The 20,870-nt window shown below is 41.5% G+C and overlaps 1 annotated feature.

Moving 5' to 3' along the window:
- Positions 4,360–4,861: an enhancer, noted in NCBI's record as "H3K4me1 hESC enhancer chr15:32197193-32197694 (GRCh37/hg19 assembly coordinates)". NCBI's record gives its function as "activates a minimal SCP1, AML or CMV promoter by ChIP-STARR-seq in naive H9 embryonic stem cells {active_cell/tissue: H9 hESC(naive)}" and the evidence as "EXISTENCE:reporter gene assay evidence [ECO:0000049][PMID:30033119]".

Genomic DNA, 20,870 nt, shown 5'->3' with positions numbered 1-20,870 from the left:
GTCTCGCTGTTCATCTTTCCCCAGTCCTCATTCAAGTGGAACTGAGCATCTCATTCTAAGAACCCTTTTGATTTTAGTATCTCCATAGCTTCAAAAAAGACCTGAACACCAGAACACCGCTGAGCAGCAGGGATGCTTCCCAGGGTGCTATTATCATCCCCAGTTTGCACATGGGGAAACTGAGGCAGAGAGCGCTAAATAACCTCCCCAAAGTCAAATAGCTGGCAGGTGGCCAAGCTAGCACCCAGGTGATTGGCTGCTGGTATGGCAAGAATGAGGAAATAGGAGGGCTTCTCCCTGGCTCTGCTGGAAATCCCAACTTCCCCAGGAGTGTGGAGCTGAGTGGTTCCATATCTCTAACATTCTTGTCTTTGTGCATAAGGGATTTTTAGCTTCCCAGTGAGTGATCAACAAGGGAAAGTTGTGGGATACTGCTTATTGACTTCTTCCTGAAGTCAAGGTACCAAGAGGGTGACAGAACAAAGCTGAGAGCCGAGAGTAGACATTTTTCCCAAGTTACTTAGAATCCATGTCAGCAAATGCGTGCAGACTATGGAGGGGTCCACAGAAGAGCTGAGCCTCCTCCTAGCAGCCAACACCAGCTTGCCGGCGATGTGAGCGGCTGCCTTGGAAGTGGACCCCCTGCCCCAGCCCAGCCTTCAGATGATGCAGTGCCAGCTGACAGCCCAACTACAACCCCATGGGAGACCCTGAGCTAGAGGGTTCCAGCCAAGCCACATGTGGATCCTGACCCAGAGGAAGTATGTAAGATAATAAATGGTTGTTTTAAGCTGCTGAATTTTGGGGTAATTTGTTACACCAAGATAGATAACTATACTATGTATTTGCATGTATTATCTCCTATATTATGGTTTAGTCTCTTTAAAATGATGACTCAAATATATGATGTTGCCTCTAGTACAGTGGCTGAAATCTGATAGATCTTCCAGAAATGTTAATTGCATCCATGAATAACTGAATGAATTTGTGATCAACTTCAGGGCTGATTTTATTCATCAAACACTTATTCAGAACCTAATTGAAGTCAGGCATTGACCTAGGTGCTGGGGACCTGTCTGAGTTGGGGACCGCTGGGAGCCCATTCTGGGACGAGGCTCTGAGCATGCTCATAGTCATCCTACCCAAGGCTGGGGAGGCTGAGTGCTCACCTACCCACTCCCCACCAGCTTCTCTGGCTGAGGGCTGCTTCTGGAACCTCACATTCTGGCTTGCCTTGTGTGTGGTTCAAGTATACACCCAACACCAGCACACAGCATTCAGGCAAACAACCTCAGGTGTGTGTGGGAAGCAGCCTTTGGACAGGCAGGGCACCAGCAGCATCTGCTGTGGCATGAAATGTAAAACCAGGGCTCACGATACAAAAGAATTATAATTATAATGAAATGTAAAAGAGAAAGAGCCAAAGTATGTTTCTATACCTGTGGATGTGGTCACTGCCTAGTGGACTGTGGAAGGTGTCACAGGAAGTTATATTTGAAATGGTGCTGCGGAGTGAGCAAAAATTTGCTGGTGGCCGGGCACAGTGGCTCACGCCTGTAATCCCAGCACTTTGGGAGGCCGAGGCGGGTGGATCACCTGAGGGCAGGAGTCCGAGACCAGCCTGGCCAACATGGTGAAACTCTGTCCCTACTAAAAATACAAAAAAACAGCTGGGCGTGGTGGCGGGCACCTGAAATCCCAGCTACTTGGAAGGCTGAGGCAGGAGAATCGCTTGAACCCGGGAGGTGGAGGTTGCAGTGAGCCGAGATCACACCATTGCACTCCAGCCTGGGCGACAAGAACTAAACTCTGTCTCCAAAAAAAAAAAAAAAAAAGAAAGAAAAGAAAATTTGCTGGGAAGGCAAATGGGGAAGATGTGCGAGGATGAAAGAGCTGCACATACCAAGGCATCCAAGTGTGAGCACTTGCAGTGTATCAGGAAACGGGAAATGTCCGCCTGTACCTGGGGCCTCAGTCACACAGGAGCCAGGAACACATGAAAAGCTTGCAGCCAATACCTCATTCGCTTTGTAGGTATTTCCTGGTAGCAGAACCACAGCCACTAGCAGGCAAGCTGGACCCTCTGTGAGGATTAGAGTCTGCGCTTTTGAGGCTCCCAACCTCCCAGCATTTGAATTATCCCTAACACTCCCAACCGTGCCAGGAAGCCGCATCTTGTACCACATGAGATCCTGGCCACTCAAGTAAATTCACCCACGGGCCCGCCCCTGCTGGAGAGAGGGAGAATCGGGGTCTTCACTGTTTGTTTGTGGCTGTTGCACAACTGACACCGTTTTCTATATTTGGAGCTGTTATGGACTAAATGTTTGTGTCCCCTCAAAGTTGACTTGTTGGAGCTCTAATCCCCAATGTTATCAGGAGGGAGGACCTTTGGGAAGTGATTAGGTGAATCACTAAAGTCCTGAGAGTGGGGCTGTCAGGATAGGATTAGTGCCTTTGTAGGGAGAGACTGCTCTTGCTCTCTCTCTCTCTGCCATGTAAGATTCAGTGAGAAGGCAGAGGTCTGCATCCAAGAAGGCCCACACCAGAAGTGGACCCTGGTCCGCCCCATTCCCAACCCCTAGCCTCTAGAACTGTGAGAAATACATGTCTATTCTTTAAGCCCTCTAGTCCATGGTGTTCTGTTATGGTAGTTTGAGCAGACTAAGACAGAGACTCTGCGGAAATTCTAGTCTCGGAGAGGCAGGGGTTTGCTTTCTATGGCAGAAACCAAGAGGGTTCAGACATTCCTGCATTTAGCCCCAGAAGCCAGGTCACAGGCCGTGAACTGGGCTAGGTCCATGAGATGTGAGTCTGCAGAGAACATTAATGTGCAGGGGCAGTTTTGAGGTGACACTGATGCCTGGGGACCTGAAGCATCATCCTGGCTCCCCTGCTAGAGTGAGGACGCCTGGGGAATTGCATAATAAATGCAGACCAAGCCCACTCACAGGGGCCTTTGCAGGAATTACACTGATAGGACATGTAAAGTATTCCTGGTAGCAGTCCTCATTCAACGCATGTCCATTCTCATGGTTTCTTTCTTTTTTTTTTTTTTTTTTTGAGATGGAGTCTTGCTCTGTTGCCCAGGCTGGAGTGCGGTGGCGCAATCTCTACTCACTGCAAGCTCCTCCTTCCAGGTTCACGCCATTCTCCTGCCTCAGCCTCCGGAGTAGCTGGGACTACAGGCGCCCACTACCACACCCAGCTAATTTTTTGCATTTTTAGTAGAGACAGGGTTTCACCATGTTAGCCAAGATTGTTTCGATATCCTGACCTCATGATCCGCCTGCCTCGGCCTCCCAAAGTGCTGGGATTACAGGCGTGAGCCACCACGCCAGGCCATTCTCATGGTTTCATTGTCTGCTAGTGACTTGCGGGCTTCTCAAAAGAGATCCCTTCTCTTGCATAAGGGTGAGTGGCTTTGATCTAACCCAGTTCTTCTAAACTGAAGATTTGCTTTCTCTCCATGTTGACATCCACGAGCAAATGTCACATCCCCTGATAGCCCTTCTGCCAGTGGGCACAGAAATGTCTCTTTGAGCTTCCACATTCACTGTGGGCTTCACGCTAGGTGGAGTGAATTGTTATCGCCTTACATCTATAGATGAGATCGTTTCTTATTTGGGGTTTTATAGGTACAGCAGAAGAAAATCATTGTGGGCATTATTATTGTGATTTGAAAGTCTAATGGATTTATTTATTTTGTTGATGGTTTTGCCTCAGGGATTTAAAAACATGGTAATTTTATGTGTCTTTGTTTTTTTTTAACAGTTGTTTTGTTTTTACAGATTTTTTACAGGTTTTTTTTGTTTTGTTTTGTTTTACAGTTCCCATAGCAGTAAAATATTCACTCCATAGTGAATTTTTTTTATAAGTTTTCAACTGCAGGTGGAAATAGATTACATCTATTTGTACTCTAAAGTGCTGGCAATAAAGTTTACTCTCAATAATATCTTTTTTTATGTGCCTAACATTAGCTGTAAAGCATAAATGAAAGAAACTAGTAGGACATGAATCCCAAAGTTTCCAAAAAATGTAGCTCTATGTGTATACAACAGAAGTTACTTTGTAAGCTCCCTTCCACCAATGGCGGAAAGGAAATTCCAAGGAACGTAGGTCTCCCTCGCACACACATGCACACATGCACGTATGTGTGTGTCTTGTCCCAGCTGCCACCGAGTGTGGCTATTTTGGATGGCTCCTTTGTGCCATGACCTAGGGGTGGCTGGGGTTGGGTGTCTGTCCCATCATCTCCTGTCTGTCATCCCTGAGGCTGCATTGTCAGGGTGAACGTCAGTGTGTGCAGGGCGAGGCTCAGTCACCCCTTGTTCCTGGGTGCAGGGCCCCTCCAGTACAGCATCCTCCCAGCTATTTCAGGCCACTCCTAGGGGTCTGGAAGGAGCCCTCTGCAGCCTGTGGCACTCTGCGGCCAGAGGGAACATGGGAGGACTCAGGTGCCTGACTCCTGACAAGGGGGAAGTAGTTTACTGCCTCCCAGGCGACGCTGGAGTGGGAAGGAACTCTGTGATACTGTGTGTGTCCGTCAGTCCAAGTGGCAGGATAGCCAGAGCCTTCTCCACACTGGGAGAAGGGAGGGCACTCAGAGGAAGTGGGGTTAGCTCCACCTTTCCGCCCCGCCTCTCCACTGTCTCCACCCTGTCCTCGCTGCTAGGGTTCAGGCACTGGGGAGAGCCCTGCACGTTTTCCTGGATCTCCTGACTCCACTTCTTGCTTTTTCCTCTGACATTCTTTCATCCCTTCCCCAGCCCAGGAAAACATCATCTGTTTTTCAGGGTGAAGAAAACAAACTCAGTATGAAGGCATATTGTTTCTCAGGGCCCAGCTTTTGAAATTCAAAATGCTTTCCTTTCAGACTATTGCTTCAAACTTGAATCTCGAAAGTGTAATGCTGATAAAATTTAAAGTAGACTCTGAAATGCCAAGTCTCTCTCTACGCTCTACCGTGCATGTTATTTGCAGGAGGTGCTGGCTGATGCCTCAGTGGGGCAAGGCGGGACAGTTTGGACACATTGTGAAAAAGAAATCTGTTGTTTCTGGGTATCAACAATCAACATACTACCAACTGCAGAGGTAAATATTGAAATGCCATTTGGAAGGGGCTTTTTGTCTCTCTCAGATTTATTGGTAGCACTAATAACAAATAGAGTTTTGAATTGCTGAAAATCACAGGCTGAATTACTTTGAGAGACCAGGTTTCATCCTGAAGTTTTGGAGCAGCTCTCCAGCGTGGCCGGTCCTGACTGTACAGTCATGTCGGTGGCTTTAGGGGGACTTTTTTAGAAGCATGAGGCTGGGTAGGCTGGTTGGAGGGAAATGGAAGGACCTGAAGAAGTTTAGTATGAGTGTTCTCTTTGTATGGTCTCTGTTCTCTTCCTGCTGCAGAGAGGCACAGTGGAGGGCAAAGGGCTTTGCCTGGGTCCCCCTTTCTCTGGGTACCCTCCACGCAGGGCTCCCAGAGACTACTGTGGACACTGGGGGAAGACAGTGGGTTCACCTGGACCCAGTTCTTCCTAACTTCCTCACACTGCCCACATACAGCCCTTCAGCCCTCCAACTCCCTTCAAATTTAGACATCAAGATTTATCTCTTTCTTCTATTCCTTAAGAGCTAAGCTGATACAACAGTTCAACCCGAAGCATTTCCACATTGTCTCACACTGCTCTGGGCTGGGGTTGCATCTTAATCGCGGAGTGAGTGGAGCCTCCTTGCTTCACCTATGGGATGAATTTCTGTGGCAGGCGAGGGTGGGGGATATTGTGGGCTCTGCCCTCAAGCCACACACCAGAGCTGTTCTGGGCTCTCAGGCTGGCTCTCAATGGTGAAAATCACCGAGCTTCTCCCTACGGCAAGGAAAGAAGTACTCAAAGTGTATGCTGATGAGCTGGGCTGGAAGGCGCCCGGGCTCACCAGTATTTGGAGGGAACATATAGGAAGAAGAAACATGTTGGTGAAGTTGTGAAATTTAAAGTGTATCTCAAGCATTTATAATATTAAAAACATAACAAACACACACCTGGGTCCATCATGTGAATTTTCGGGGGCAGAACATCACTACCTCTGTGGTGCACTGTACCTACCTATCTTTTTAATGAGGCAGCCTCACTCACCAATCTGGTTGTTATACAGCACTCCACCCCCAATTCAGTCTTGAGGGATTTCCCTTGGTTACTTGGGCCCCAGGGCTTTTGACATCGACCCAGGATATCCTTATGGACAGTCTCCATGCTCGTTCCTATGGCAGGAAATGCCACTTTCAGAAGACCTGCTGTGCGCCACCTACCCAGAGAACCCCAGGCCATTCTGCACAGCAAGGACCCTCTGCGGAAGGACAGACAAATGCAAATCCCCAAATACAGTGCCCAGAATGAGTGCTGGACACTTTTCCTGCAGTCTCAAGGGCTAGGTGAACCGCTAGGTTCTAAACAAGACGTTGGAATTAGGAGTTTTATGTAGTCCAGAGATCTAAGCAGATGAAAAGTTCAAACATTCTCGACTGACACAACGTTAGATTTTGGAAGGGACTGCAGAGATCTTTGACCCTGACTCTCTCTCTCAGTGTTGAGAACTGGCTGCCATAACAAAATATCATAGAGTAGGGGTCTTAAAAAACAGAAATCCAGGCCAGGCACAGTGGCTTACACCTGTAATCCCAGCACTTTGGGAGGCCAAAGCGGGTGGATCACCTGAGGTCAGGAGTTTGAGACCAGCCTGGCCATTATGGTGAAACCCCATCTCTACTGAAAATACAAAAATTACCTGGGCATGGTGGTGGGCGCCTGTAATCCAAGTACTCAGGAGGCTAAGGCAGGAGAATCACTTGAACCCAGGAGGCGGAGGCTGCAGTGAGCCAAGATCGTGCCATTGCACTCCAGCCTGGGTGACAAGAGCGAAACTCTATCTCAACAACAACAACAACAACAACAACAACAACAAAACAAACAAACAACACAGAAATCCAGGTGCTCAACCTGGAGGCTGAAAGTCCAAGATCAAGGGTTCAGTAGGGCTGTTTTCTCCTGAGGCCTCTCCTTGGCTTGTGATGATCGCATCCTTGCTGTGTCCTCTCGCGGCCTTCTCCCTGTGCATTTGCAGCCCTGTTGTCTTTTCCTTTTCTTATAAGGACATCAGTCCTATTGTGTTAGAGCCCCACCTTATGACCTCATATAACCTTAATTAACCTCTTTAAAGGCCCTATCTCCAAATACTGTCACACTGCAGGTTAGTACTTCAACATAAGAATGTGGGGAAGGGGGCACAACTCAGGCCATAACAACTCACTCCACTGCATCATGACTTAGAACAAGACATTATTACACCATCTGCTGGGTCCAAAATAATCAAGGTCTGAGTAGAATAGATTAGACTGTGCAGGGCAAAATATCCAGGATTGAAGTCAGACACATCAGGGCAGAGGCCTGACTGTGAAACCCACTGGCTGTGACCAAGCAAGTCACTTGACTTCTCTGAGCCTCTCTTTCTTCATTTGGAAAACAGGGAGAGTAACATATATCCTGCATGGATGGGAGTGTTGGAACTAGTGTTTGGAAAGTGACTACTCAAAACAGAATGGCTATTCTTATGAGTCACCATCATTCTGATATTCCATGGGATTCCAAGGTCTAGTGAAGCCCTTGGCCCCCTTCTGAGATGCATTTTTCTGGTGAGTTGCTGCACATTGTGCTATGGAACTGTGCAACCCTGGATACAACACTAGGCTTGACACCTGAGCCACCAGCCAGACACAGGGGCCTGATTCAAGGCCTACCACCCTCTGTGAGGACTTTCCATGGGCTCCTGAATAGGTATGTGACTTCCCCTGAAGACCAGATCCCCTGCTGATCACACACCCTGTGTTTCTCCATATGTACCAATATTTTCACATAAAACTTTTCACCTTATAGTCACTTGAACAAGGCTCATTCTGTGCCTTACAGCCTGGAAAAATAAATAAATAAGTAAATAAAAGCCTTCTATCACATAACAGGGCTACATGAGGGAATTGCTCAAAGTTATAAACTACAATGTAGTTACTGTGGAGACACTTTGAAATGCTGTATTAGTCCATTCTCATGCTACTATGAAGAAATACCCAAGACTGGGTAATTTATAAAGAAAGTGGTTTAATTGACTCACAGTTCCACATGGCTGGGGATGCCTCAGGAAACTTATAATCATGGCGGAAGGCGCCTCTTCACAGGGTGGCAAGAGAGAGAATGAGTCAGCACAGGAAAGACTAGCATTTCTAAAACCATCATATCTCCTGAGAATTCACTCACTATCATAAGAACAGCATGGGGGAACCGCCCCCATAATCCAATCACTTCCCACCAGGTCTCTCCCTAAATACCTGGGGATTACAATTCAAGATGAGGTTTGGGGGGGGACGCGAAGTCTAACCATATCAAATGCCTATCCCTGGAGGAATGCTCTAGGATCTAGGGTCAGGCAAAGGAGGCCAAGTAGCATCAGATGGTGGGGCAAAGTGCTGAATATGTGAAAATGGTATTCTTGGCTTTGGACCAAGGTGCGCCACCTGTTCTGTCACTACATCATCACAGCTCATGAGATACAGTCATCACAGGCTAAGAAGAGGTTGGATGTGGATAGGACCTGAGCAGCCATGTTACTTGCTCCAAAACCCTCATAGAGGCCTAAAGAGGTACAATAATTGTTCCAAAGTTACACTCTTATTTACTGGCAGTGCCAAGGCTAAACTTTAAATCTTATGACCTCTAGCCCAATATTTTTTTCCACCTTTAATCATAGATTCTTAAAAATTGTATTTTGCATGTGAATATTCAGTTGTCCCAACAACATTTGTTGAAAAGACTATTCCTCCCCCGTGGGATAGTCTTAAGACCTTTGTTGAAAGTTAGTTGACCATAGATATCTGAGTTTATTTCTACTCTCAATTCCATTGCATTGATAAATATGTATATCGTTGTGCCAGTATCACATTGTCTTAGTTACTCTTGATTTGTAGTAAGTTTGGAAATCAGGAAGTGTGACTTCTCCTACTTTATTCTCCTTTTTCAAGATTGTTTTGACTGTTCTGGTTCCTTGCAGTTCCATATGAATTTAAGAATTAGCTTATTATTTCTGCAAAATAGGCTGTTGGGATTTTGATTGGGAATGAATTGAATCTGTAGATCAGTTTGGGGAGTACCGCTATTATAATAGTCAATGGGTCAAAAAGTAAATAAAAAGAAAAATTAGGAAACACTTTGATATGAATGAAAAAGAAGGCAAAGCATATCAAAAGTTATATGACACAGTAAAAGCAGTATCATATAACACAGGGAAACTTAGAGCTGCAAATGTCTATATTAAGAAAAAAGTTATCAAATCAGTAACCTAAACTTACATTTTAAGACACTGAAAAAAGAGGAGCAAGCTAAACCTAAAGCAAGCATAAGGCAGTTGTGTTAATCCATTTTGCATTGCTCTACAGAATACCTGAGGATGGGTAATTTTTTAAGAAAATTACTTGACTCACAGTTCTGCAGGCTGTGAAGTAGGACACCAGCATGGCTTCTGGTGAGCGCCTCAGGAAGCTTATAATCATGGAGGAAGCAAAGAGGAAGTAGGCACATCCCATGATGAGAGAGAGCAAGAGAGAGGAGGGAGGTCCCAGACTCTTTTTAACAATCAGATCTCCTGGTAACTCATTACCACAGGGAGGGCATCAAGCCATTTATGAGGGATCTGACCCCATGGCCCAAACACCTCCCACTAGGTCCCACCTCCAACACTGGGGGTCATTTCACATGTGAAATGTCAATCACATTTCAACACGTGATTTGCAGGGGACAACTATCCAAACCATATCAGGAGGAAATAATAAGAATTAGAGTGGAAATTAATAAAATACAGAAAAGAAAAACAATAGAGAAAATAAATGAAACCAAACCCTAATTCTTTCAAAGTATCAACAAAATTGACAAAACTTTAGCTAGATTGATCAGAATTTTTAAAAAGAGAAGACTTAAATTGATAGAATCAGAAACAAAAAAGAGGACATTACTACTGACCTTATAGAAATAAAAATGAATTACAAAAGAATATCATGAAAAAATTGTATGCCAACAAATTAGATAACATTAGTGAAATAAACAAATTTCCTGAAAGACACAAACTGCAAAAACTGACTCAAGAAGAAGTTGACAATCTTAATAGACCTATAACAAGGGAAAATATTAAATTAGTAATTAAAAATCTTCCCACAAAGAAAGCCCAGGCCCAGATGGCTTTACACTGAGCTATACATTATTATTCTTTTAAATTATACTTTAAGTTCTTGGATACATGTGCAGAACGTGCAGGTTTGTTACATAGGTATACATGTGCCATGGTGGTTTGTTGCACCTATCAACCCGTTATCTACATTAGGTATTTGTCCTAACGCTATCCCTCCCCTTGCTCCCCACCCATCAACAGGCCCCGGTGTGTGATGTTCCCCTACCTGTGTTAATGTGTTCTCATTGTTCAATTCCCACTTATAAGTGAGAACATGCAGTGTTTGGTTTTCTGTTCCTGTGTTAGTTTGTTGAGAATGATGGTTTCCAGCTTCATCCATGTCCCTGCAAAGGACATGAACTCATTCTTTTTTATGGCTGCATAGTATTCCATGGTGTATATGTACCACATTTTCTTTATCCAGTCTATCACTGATGGGCATTTGGGTTGGTTCCAAGTCTTTGCTATTGTAAATGGTGCTGCAATAAACATACGTGTGCATGTGTCTTTATAGTAGCTATCCCATACTTTGTTCAGATATCCTTAATTTTCACATAATGTTCTTTTTATATTCCAAGATCCCATTCAGGATAGCACATTATGTGCAGCTGTCATGTTTTCTTAGGCTTCTCTTGGCTGTGATTGTTAATCAGAATTTTCTTAGTTTTAAAATTAGCAGGGTGTGGTGGCAGGTGCCTGTAATCCCAGCTTCTTGGGAGGCTGAGGCAGGAGAATTGCTTGAAACCAGGAGGTAGAGGTTGCAGTAAGCAGAGATGACACACTGCACTCCAGCCTGGGTGACAGAATGAGACTGCGTCTCTCTTAGTTTTGATGACTTTGATCATTTTGAGGAGTACAAGTCAGGTATTTAGTATAAATAATGTGCTTCAACTGAAATGATTATATTGTAGTTACATGAATTTGGGAGGAAAACCACGTAGGTAACAGGTCATTCTCATCACACCATATCATATCAATTCATCACATACTGTCAAAATGACTTATCACTGTTGATATCGATGTATATCACCTGAGGTAGTGTTTGTCAGATTAATCCAGAAGTTTGAAAAAAAATTTAAGAGCCGTAAAAAGGTTATATCATTTAATAGTTCTGCTTTTAGAATTCTAAGTAAATTTTGAATGTATGAAGATTTCTATGCAGTGATGAGCAACATCATGTTACCTCTACAAATATTAGTTTGAGGGATAAATCCATAAATATTTATATATCAGTGAGTGAGTAAATAAATCATGAGACATTAGAATATTGAACAGACACTAAAATTGTGGGACAACTGTTTTTATCATATGAGAAAATGCTTGAGAATTACATTAAATAAAAGTAAATACAGTAAATAATATACAAATTTTGACCCAATTACATGTCCAGATATGAATATATTTTAAATTATTTGTCCCAAGATCTGTTATGAATATTGAATCTAAAAATTCATATTTTCCATTATTTTTACAATTATCCCTTTGAATATTGTTTCTCTTTCATTTTTGCTATTCCCCTTTTCTTCAAGTAGACATGTTAGATTTATTCATTCTGTCCTTGGTGCTTCTTAATCTTTTGTTCACTTCTTTATCTTCTTATACTGCATTTGAGTAATTTCCTGTTCCCTATCCTCCAGTTTATTATTTCTCTCTTCAATTGTGTCAAATCTGCTTTTTAAATACTAATTGAGTTTTACAGTCTTTGTCAGTTCTAATATTCCTAGGGAACTCTAATGCTATATATTGTTTCTGCTGTCTTTCATTCACTGTGGATTATTTCCTTAAATGTGGTATAACTTTGACATGTAAATTTTTCTCCTGTAAGATCTACTACATAACTGTTCTATGATTTTCTCCTGCTTAGAGATTTTGGCTATAACTGGCATGGAATCTATTTTTATATTAGTTTTTTTAGATTATGAGCTTTGGAAAGACACAGTTATTGCAAATTTGATCTCCACAAATCCATGCAATGCAAGTTCTGGCTTTGAATATGTGTGTTGAACTTTTTCTCTTACCCAGAGTCCAAGCAGAGATAGGTAAGTTTTCTGGTTGATTTTCTAAGTTAATGACTATATTTCTTTACTAAGCCACTCTTTTCTAGAGGTACAGTTCTTTTTTGGTCTACCATTCATACAGAATTCTCAGTTCTAGTACTCAAACCTGCCTCCTGTGGGGCCTAGAATTTTCTGTAATCCCCCATGCTTGACAGCTGGGGTGGGGCATTCTGGCTGGCCAAGCAGACCCAGAACATGAGCTCTCTGCTGCGGGAAACCCACCTAAATCCTTATAAGTGGTCTACTCCCAGAAAAATGTGGTCTCAACATTAGAAGAAAAAATGTGAAACCTATCTACAGCATTCTATGCTTCCTTTTTGGTTTTTAAGCTGCCTTATTGATTCTATCACACAAGGATTTCTTCTTCCTTGTTGAAAGCTCACCTATGCATTTAAAACATGTCTGTTCTATTTTATACAGTATTTACAGAGCTTTGTAAGAATTTTTAAGTTGTACAGAGCAAAATATTACTGGAATCAGAAATATTTTCTGTACCATTTAGTATATTTAATTTTAAAACTGTCTTCTGGGATAGACATTGTTTATATGTCATAGTTAAGGACAGTGAAACATTTTGCCTTTTGTCATCCAAGCTAGCATACAGCAAAGGTAGAACTGAATTCAGATCTTCTCTTTAGACTGCAGGGTTACTTCTGCTGTATCACAGATCTATATCACAGTTCTATGAAATTAAGAGAATCTTAGCATTTTTTTCAGGCTAAATACATGAGATATAGGAGATCAAATCTCCATTTATTCAACAAATATTTTCTCTGTGTCTACTTAATGCAAATATAGAGATAGAGGGATAGATAGATAGATACACTTATAGGTGAGTATATGGATACATCTATCATGAGGTATCACTTGGGGGCCAAAGAAAGGGAAGGAGATGTGTTGCCAAGGACAAACCTTTTCAGAGAGTTAGAAAAGAAAGTTAACTCCCAAGTACGTTTTGTGTAACTCTAGGCCTGTGTAGGAGAAATAGCAAGTAGATTACCTAATATTCAGTCTTCCCTGCTGGTGAAGCCAATGTGCCCAGTTAAGTAAACAATTTACTTTTCCCAGCTTCCCTTGCAGGAATAACTTGGCGACTCTATTATGGCCAAGACATTTTACATGAAGCTTGTAGGGAAACTTTATTAGAAGAGGGCTGTGGCCATTGGAATAACAGCCACCCAACCCACATCCTAATGCCTAGAACCTGAGAATGTATTACTTCATATGGTAAAAATGACTTTGCAAATGTGATTAAGGGTAAAGACCTTGATATAGGGAGGTTTTCTTGAATTATGCAGGTGGCCCCAACTAGTTACATGTGTTCTTAAAAGTGGAGAACCTTTTCTGGCTCTGTTCAAAGAGAGAGATGTGATGATGGAAGCACTCAGAAAAATGTAGTGTGAGGACTCACCCTACTGCTGGCTATGATGATGAGAGATGGGAGCCATGAGCCAAGGAATGCAGGTGGCTCTAGAAGCTAGAAATGGCAAAGAAACAGATGTTCCCCCAGGACCTCTAGAAAGAAAGGCAGCCCCTTTGTTCTATTGATTTAGCTCAATGAGATCGGTGTCAGACTTCTGACATTAAGAACTCTCAAATAATAACTTTGCATTGTTCAAAGTGACTACATTTTTGGTAAGCTATTATGGCAATAGCAGAAATCTCATACTGGGGCAGACTTTGCTGGAACATCCATTTTTGGACTTTCCCCTTCCCTTTCTTTCTGTTTGGAATATGGACAAGATGTGGCCTCTAGCTTGTGTGTGTGAGGATGAGGATGAGGATTAGGATGGGAGAGGAGACAGTCAGAAGGTACCTTGGTTCCTGCTGACTTTCTAGAGTGTAGGCTGCCTATCTCCTGACCAACCCTATTTTGTTGGTATTCTGTCACATGCATTTTAACCCACTTCACGACTCACAGCAAACCTGACTTAGAGTAGAAGACCTAGGGCTGAGTCCTGGCTGTATCATTTAGAACTTTGACCTGCATGGCCTTGGGTAAGTCATATAATCTCTTTCGGCCTCAGTTTCCTCATCTATAAAATGGAGCATCCAAAATAGCCCCCAGGAAGCTTGTGAAGATGAGATGAAGTACCTTGAGAAAGCATCCAGCACAGGACATGGCACACAGCAGGGGTTCCTCAGATGTTTCTTCGTTTTCTCTCTAAATATAACCTACACAAATTTTATTGTCACGAATCCACATCTGTAAATATTTAAGAGAGTTGGCACAGATGAATGCCTAATCCCCAGGGCAGAAGATTTGCCTTTGTTCAGCCCCAGCTCAGTTCCACTGAGTACAATATTCCAACTCCATCCTGCAGCCAGAACTCTGCAGACCCAGCACCATCATCGCTGAGGCTCACAACAACACGGGTGAGCAAGCCCAGGCTGCTGTGATGACATCAGGGGCTCTGGGATGATTGCTGGGTCAAGTTGGAGGAACACTCCCCTCCACCTCTCATGAATGTTGGGATATCATCTGAAAATTGGTGTTAGGCAAGGTCTTCCTTCGTAAGGTGATTAATCACTCCTGGAACAGTTAGTGGAGAGGATATGGCTTCTCAGTAGAAAGCTAAAAACGAGTAAGCTAGAGAGATTAAGCTCAAATGAACATGAACAAAAGCTAGAAGTATTGGTTTCCAAAACTTGGATGTCCAGGAGCACAGCTGGGTCAAGACACCCAGTAACATCCCTGGGCTCTGACTCCTGCACTGCTCACAGGTTCTTTCCATGCTGTAGAAGCTCTAGCTCCATATACACCTTCCCAACCCTAGGAGAGGAGGGCTTTTGAATAGTTTTGGTAAAAAGATAAGTTTTGAGTGGATTCTGATCATCCTGATATGGATTACATGCATATTCCTGAACCATGCTCATCATCTGGGTTGGGGCACTCTGGCTTGCCAAGCAGACCCAGAACATGAGATATCTGCTTGGGAAACCCACCTAAATCCTTATAAGTGGTCTACTCCCAGAAAAGAATGATCCTAACATCAGAAGAAGGCAGGAAAAGGTGATGGGCAGATGGAAACAAGGCATGTTCACTGGAGGGTCCTGGGAATATGAAGAGAAGTGTTCATGTCCTTTACTCTCAGATATTCTCTCCTGAGCCTTGTTTTGAAAACCCAAGGTTTTTATGCACATATTCCCCAGAGGTGGAACTAAAATGATACCACTTACAGGAGGTCACTAAGGAACTGGGATGGGAGGGAGCCACCCTTTATTAAAGAGACTTCCTGGAAATGAGGTCTACTTGGGTAGGACTTTAAGGTAAGAACAGAAAGGGTTGAGAAAGCAGTGGGTTGTCTCCCACCAGAAAAGCCAACCTTACCACCAAGGCCCTGATGGAGGCACAGTTGTCCAAGGCTCTTCACCTTCCTGATGGGCTGTCTTACTTTCGGCAAAGCTGAGAGTTTAGTCTTAACCAATCTTCGGTCATCCTTCCATACACGGTGTCCCCAGTTTCCTCATACATCAGATGGAGATGGTAATAGTGCCCACCACTCTGGGGGATTCAGAACCAAATGAGATCATAGATGTCAAGCACAAGTGCTGAGTAGACACCAAGCAAATGTGTGACATCATCCTCGTCATTGCTTCTACTGCTCCTCAGTGAGTCATTTTCTTTGTCTTCGGGCTTGAAAAGATATGCAGCACAGTTAGCACTTTAAAATAATTTGATTTATACGGATTTGAAATTGATCAATATTTTGAATTTGGGACCTAAATTTGAGGCTGTTCATCCCACTGAACCAACAAACAAAAAAGGAGATACTGTGGTCACAAGTGTGATGGATCATAATTGCAAAGGAGGCCTCGCAATGGGCCAGGGAGGTAGTAATCTCTGCAAAAAAGAAACGCTAACTTCACCTTCCAGATAAAATGGAATAACAGGAAATACATTTACTCTCATGCCTGAGACAGCCAAGAAAAAAAAACAGAAAAAATATACAAAATAACAGTTTTTAAGTCCCCAGACATTAGGCAACAAAAGACAGTGATTCCTGAGAGAGAGAAAACGGTGAACTCCACAGTTGCCTTGACATTGTCTCCACGCTATGGCATAGAAAAGTGGAACTCAGGCAGAACCCTAAAGAGTCCCTGAGTTGAAGAGACAGCTGAGATTCCAGGACAACAAGGCAGATAGCGTGCACAGAACAGAGCTGCACAGGGAGAAAACTCCAGAGATCAGCATAGAGTCCTTGTTGAGTGTTCAGCAGTACTGATCAAGGCATGCATGTGCATAAACTACCGGAGGTTGGGTGTGATGTTTCATTATATGTGTCAACTTAAATGGGCCATGGGTACCCAGATGGAACATTGTCGTGGGCGTGTCTGTGAGGGTGTTTCTGGGTGAGATTAGCATTTGGATTGGTAGAGTCAGTGAAGTAGATTGCCCTCCTCAAGGTGGGGGTGCATTATCTAATCCACTGAGGGTCCAAAAGAATAAAAGGCAGAGGAAAGAATTTGTCCCATTTTTCTTGCCTTACTGCTTGAGCTGAGACATATCATTCTGACTTCTCCTGCCCTCCCACGGGTTTACACCACTGACTCCCCCCGGTTCTCAGGCCTTTGGACTTAGACTGAATTGCACCATCTACTTTCCCATAGGGCTCCAGCTTGCAGACTGCAGATCCTGAAACTCTTCCACCTGCATAGTCACATGAGCCAATTCCTCATAATTAGCAAATAAATATATATATTTATCTATCATGATGATATATATATAACACATATGTTAATGTTAACATTTTATATAATATATTCATGTTAATATATTATATAATTATATTAATATAATTATATATTATATTATAATCATATATTAATGTTAATATATCAATATATTAATATAATATTTATTATAATATATAGAGAGAATATATCCTATATATATCTATTTTGGTTCTGTTTCTCTGGCGAACCTGACTAATACTCTAAGAAAAGAACTCCCCAAAATTAAACAGTGCCTAGCACTCATACCAGGCCAAAATTTGTGGCCAAACTGGTAGATAATTTATGAGACCTTGTGTAAATGCTATGACTTGAAAGTATGTGTCCCTCCAAAATTCATGTGTTGGAACTGAAACCCCAAGGTGATGATATTAAGAGACTGGGCCTTAAGGTGTTAAGTCATGATGGTGTCACCTGCATGAATGGATTAGTGCTCTTATAAACGAGGTTGAAGGGAGCACCCTAGTGCCTTTGGCCCTTCCATCCCTTCTGCCTTCTGCACCATGTGAAGACACTGTGAGAAGATACCCTCACCAAACACTAAGTCAGCCAGTGCCTTGATTTTGAACTTCCCAGACTTCAGAAAATAAATTTTGTGTGAATGTTCGTGTGAAAAATGAATTTCTATTCTCTATAAATTACCCACTCTCATGTATTGTGTTACGGCTGCACAAATGGACTGAGCCACTAGAATACTCAGAAGGGTCTTGCCTCAGTAGCAGAGAATAAGTAGCCATAGACTGAACATGAGGTCCTGTATAAAAATCTTAAAAGCACATGCAAAAGGATCAAATTGCTTCGATGTAACTTAGTGGCAAACAAAGCTCAAGAATATTTACAGCAAAACAAAAAAATCCATCACTCAACAAGATAAATTAACATTGTTGGGCAACCAATGAAAAATTATCAAGCATACAAAGAAGCAGAAAATATGAGGTAACACGAGAAGAAAAAGTAACCAATCACACCAACACAGAACTGATACAAATATTAGAATTAGCATACAAGAATATTAAAATTGTTATTGCAACTCTATTCCCCATGTTCAAAAGGTTAAATAGAAATGTGATCCAAATCAGACTTGAAAAATGAAAACTACAAGAATGAGATAAAAAATATAATGCACTGAATAGCATTAAGTAGACATTGCAGAGAAACAGACTTGCGAATTTGAAGACATAGCTGTAGAAACTACCCAAGAAGGAACACAGAGAGAATTAAAACAGACTCAATACATACATGAAAAGAGCATAGGTAATCTGTATAACAAAACATTCAGAGCCCTAACGTGTGTAATCAGTGTTAATAAAAGGGGCAGGGCAGATAAATATCTGAAGAAATAATAGCCAAAAACTTTCCAAATTTGATGAAAATTATAAACCCAATTATTGAAGATACTTAACAAACTTTGTGCACAAGAAGCATGAAAAAAATCACATGAAGGCACCATAATCACCATAACCAAATTGCTCAAAATTCCTGAGAAAGAGAAACATCCAGGGGGGAAGAAAAAGATTTATTATGCACACAGGAACACAAATAGGGATGACAGCAAGTTTCTCATAAAACAAAAACCAAGACCAGCAGGAAGACAGTGGAACAATATATTTAAAGCAGTGAAAGAAAACCTTAGAATCTTATACCCAGAAAAAAAAATACGTTTCAAAATGAGAAAAAATAAAGACATTTTTAGACATGCAAAGCCAAAATAATTCATCACCATGAGGCCCACATAACAAGAAATGCTCTAGAAAGTCCATCAGGCAGAAGGAAGTTAGTATGTATCTACACACAGGAGTGAAGGGAACCAAAAATGGTAACCACCTTGGATAAATGCACAAGGTTATTTCCTTGTATTTAAATCTCTTGAAAAGATGATTGATTTTTAAACAATATATATTGACTTTTTAAACAATAATAACAATGTAATGTGGAGTTTATAAAATATGTAAAATCACATGTATGATAAGGATAGCACAAAAGCTGAGACACCTAAAAATATACTGTCGTAAGGTACTTATGCTATATTTGAAGTGAAATAACATCATTTGAGGACTGCGATAAATTAGACGTGTATACTATAAACCTTAAAAAGACCACTAAGCAACAAAATGAGGAGTTATAGCAAATAAGCCAACAGGTATTAAAATCAAATTATAAGTGATACTCATCTTACCCCAAAGCAGGCAGAAAATAGGTGAAAAGGGAAACAACATACAGAAAAGACAAATAGAAATGAATAGCAATATTTAAAGCTAGCAAGTCAATAATTACAGCAATTTTAAAGAGTTTAAAAACTTTAATTAAAAGTCAGTATTATCAGATAATCCAAGCCTCAACTGTACGTTGTCTTCAAAAAGGATAATTTTAAATATAAATCAACAAAATACATAAAAGAAAAAAACAGAAAATTATATAATGTATTAAAATTAATCTAAAGAAAGCTACAGTTGCTAGATTAATAACAGAATAAGTCAATTTTGGACTGCAGAATATTCTGACCAAAAGTAACATTAATTCACAATGATAAAGGGTTCAATTTATCAAGAGAACATAAAAATTCTAAAAATGTATACATCCACTAACAGTGTTTCAAAATATTTGAAGCAAATACTGATAAAACTGTAAGGAGAAATAAACAAATTACTAATTATAGGCAAATATTTCAATAACCCTTTCTCAATAATTAATAAAACAGGTAGACAGGAAGTCAGCAAAGATAGAGAAGACTGACAAAAATGTCAACTCACTTGACCTAGTTGACATTTATGGAACACTCCAACACTCCAACCTCCAACAACAGAATATATATTTTTTCCACATGCGACAGGACATTTACAAAGGTCAATAATATTCAGGGCCCCAAAACAAATCTTATTAAATTTAAAAGAATTTAAGTCATACAAAATATGTTCTCTAACCACAAAGCAATTAAACTAAAAATCAATAATAGAAAGAGCTCTGGAAAAATCAATTCCCAAACATTTAGAAACTAAGTAGCACACTGCTAAAGAACACAAATCAAGGAAAAACTCTAAAGGGAAATGAGAAAGTATAAATTGAATGAAAAAATGAAAATACAGCAGGTCAAATTTGTGGGCTTCCACTACAGCTAAATTAGAAAAGGAAATTGTCTCAAATCAATGACCTTAGAGTGCATTTTAGGAAACCAGGGAAAAAAAGCAAATGAAATGGAAAGTACATGGAAGAACTGAAATTATCAAAAGATAAAGGTGTCACTCAGTGAAACAGAAAAACAAAGCAATAGAAATAAGTCAATAAAATTAAAAAGTTTGGGCCGGGCGCTGTGGCTCACGCCTGTAATCCCAGCACTTTGGGAGGCCAAGGCGGGCGGATCACGAGGTCAGGAGATCGAGACCATCCTGGCTAACAGTGAAACCCCGTCTAAAATATAATTTTTTGTACTAAAAATACAAAAAATTGGCAGGGCGTGGTGGCAGGCACCTGTAGTCCCAGCTACTTGGGAGGCTGAGGCAGGAGAATGGCGTAAGTAAACCCAGGAGGCGGAGCTTGCAGTGAACCGAGATCGTGCCACTGCACTCCAGCCTGGGCGACAGAGTGAGACTCCATCTCAAAAAAAAATAAAATAAAATAAAATAAAATAAAAATAATAAAAATAAATAAATAAAAAGTTTGTTCTTTGAGAAGCTTAATAAAGCTGTAAACCACTAGCCAGACAAATCAGGAAAACAGGGAGAAGACATAAATTACAGTGTCAGGAATGAGAGATAGAATGTCACTACAGATCTATAGATATGCAAAATAATTATGAATTATTAGAATAATTTTATATTAATA

Source organism: Homo sapiens, chromosome 15 (genome assembly GCF_000001405.40).
Source record: "Homo sapiens chromosome 15, GRCh38.p14 Primary Assembly".
In the NCBI taxonomy this organism is placed as follows: Eukaryota; Metazoa; Chordata; class Mammalia; order Primates; family Hominidae; genus Homo; species Homo sapiens.
This window is presented reverse-complemented; position numbering and strand designations above follow the sequence as displayed.